Below are 2436 nucleotides of genomic sequence, written 5' to 3'. Positions count from 1 at the left end.
GAAAATCCCAAGAAATTGACCAAAAAAACCACAAAACAAACAGAAAACAATAATTAAAAACCTCTAATAAATGAGTTTATCAAGGTTATAGGACATGATGTCATCATACAAACAATCAATCATTTTTCTATATACTAGTCATGGCATTTGGAAACAGAAATTTCAAAATGAGTAGGGGAAAACTGGTAGTTATTGAATTCCCTTATGAGACTAGAATTTTGCACTTTTTATATTATCACTCTCCTCATTTGTTTTAACAAGATTGACAACAGTAAGAAGTGCAAGTGAAAAGATGTGAAGTAACAAGAAGTAACAGAAACAAAACATAATCAGCAAAATGCAGGTAAGTTTAGCTCATAGTCCATAGTTCATAGAGTTAAGGCTACACAGTGGTGAAGTGAAACTATTGCCTTATTATTCCATGTTTAAGAGATGGGTGAGGAGCCTAGGGTTTTGCCTAAAGGTGACTTTGGCTTTGAAGTGGGGAGTAAAGATTTTTGGCAATTTTGATACAGGCTTCCTGTCCCTTTTGTTTTAACCATTTAAAGCCTCTATGAAAACTGTATTAAATCAAAACAAAACAGAGCAGGTATCTCTATTTTGTCTAAGGAATGCCTGACTTCTTTTGTTTGATACCCACCACTTGTTAATTTCCTTAATTCTCCTTCAATATTTAATTTCTATTTTTTAACATACGAAGCATTTCTGTCTTTTTGGCATGGTAAAGCCCCTGTAATCAACACTCTAAGGCTTTCACTTAATGTGAAACAAAGGTGAAGTGATCAGACAGATCCAGATAGTCAAAAGTCAGTTTTAATTAAAGATAAATGCATCACCACTATCCATATTCTTATCCATACTTCTGTGGAATTAGGAAGCACAGAAGTATAGAGTTTTCCTTTATAAATAATCAAGGAAAAAGCATGAAGTGTTAATTTCTCTCGAAAAAGAGTAAATTCCTACATCGTAAAAGGTGCATGGGATTTGGATTCGGACAAACACTTATTTAAATTTGAACTTTGCCTTTTACTTGCTGTATGATTTTGGGAAACTACTTAACTCTTTGAGTCTCAGTAGCCTCATAGCAATACCGTAACAACAGCCAAATTACAGAGCTTATGTGAGGATTAAGGTGTTCAAAATTTGTTGAATACAGTTGCTACTGCCTTGGGATCTCTTTTTAGTCCTGATATAAGTGGTCTGAAACGCAGTAGCACCCCATCACCTTTGGCTGAGTTAAAACTTGCCCTCCCAGTTTGGTTGGTTGTGATATAGCCCACCTGTTTATCCTACTAACCCCAAACCTAACACATCTCAGAGCTGCTAACTATGATAGAATCTTGCAAATAAGTTCCATCTTCTCATGTGTTTTCTTTAAAATAGCCCATCCACAATCTCCCTTGGGAAAGCCTAAGGGGTAACCATGGAACCTAAAGGTGTTATCCCACATGGTTCTTCTTTCTCTCTCTTTTCTCACGCTCTCACTCTCTCTCTCTTTCCCTTTCAGCTGCTAGGGATGCTGCGTCCTTCAGCATCCCTAACCTCTCTGGGACTTGTGCTTAATAAATGTCTTCTGTTTCATGCATTTTAGTTTCATCTCCTCGTTGTGTTTCACCTGAAACACACACCCAAACCTAAATTTCCCCTCTTCAGAGCTCTCCTAGAGTATGGCTATGTTGGCTTAATGGCCATTCTCAAGAGAAAGACTTTAAGACCAAATTAGAGAGGAACCATAACAATAAAAATTATAATGTAAAGATAATAACTTTAGTCATGAACTGGGAAGAGTTTGAGCACCAGATAAGTTGAAAGTGTTGTGATTATTTTTTTCCTATGGCATTTGTGAAGCACTGATTCAAAACTGGCATATTGTTATATCGATATATGTGCTATATTTTATTTTGTGTAAACAAATTATCTTGCCTCCATAAATGTATATGAAAGTATATTGGACTTCACTAGTTATATTATTTATTATTGATTAGGCTATTATAGAAAACCCCATAAAATTTTAGCAACTTATGAGAGAAAGGAGGAATAGAAATGTTCAGGCATCTACATAAGCTAATTATTTTGCAAAAGTATACATCTAGACTAAAATTATTGCTGTGTGTTATGTAGTGTTCCATTTGACAGTCTTGGCTTTCTGTGTGATGAATTCAATTTGTGTCTAAACTTTATTTTTAGAATAAATTATACTTTCTTTAATAGTATTTACTATAGAACAGAAGAAAACTTTACAGTAGAGACAGGGAAAACATACAGTTGGTAATTATGGAACTTATATTATTGGATGGGTTGAAGAATTTGAATATTAATCAGGTTCTGTCATAATGCCCAATTAAGGGCCTCTTATTGCTCTTAGTGTTATTGTTCTGATAATATGGGTAAGATATCAGGTATTTAACGGTTTTATTTTTTTGTTTGTTTGCAGAC

General features: G+C 34.5%; 1 annotated feature.

The window, feature by feature from the left end:
• Positions 2067-2236: an enhancer, noted in NCBI's record as "experimental_75989 CRE fragment used in MPRA reporter constructs". NCBI's record gives its function as "activates a minimal promoter by MPRAs in K562 erythroleukemia cells, with activity observed for both the introgressed and non-introgressed 4:167351426 variant alleles {active_cell/tissue: K562}" and the evidence as "EXISTENCE:reporter gene assay evidence [ECO:0000049][PMID:34662402]".

The sequence above is a fragment of the Homo sapiens genome, chromosome 4, assembly GCF_000001405.40.
Source record: "Homo sapiens chromosome 4, GRCh38.p14 Primary Assembly".
Taxonomy (NCBI): Eukaryota; Metazoa; Chordata; class Mammalia; order Primates; family Hominidae; genus Homo; species Homo sapiens.
This window is presented reverse-complemented; position numbering and strand designations above follow the sequence as displayed.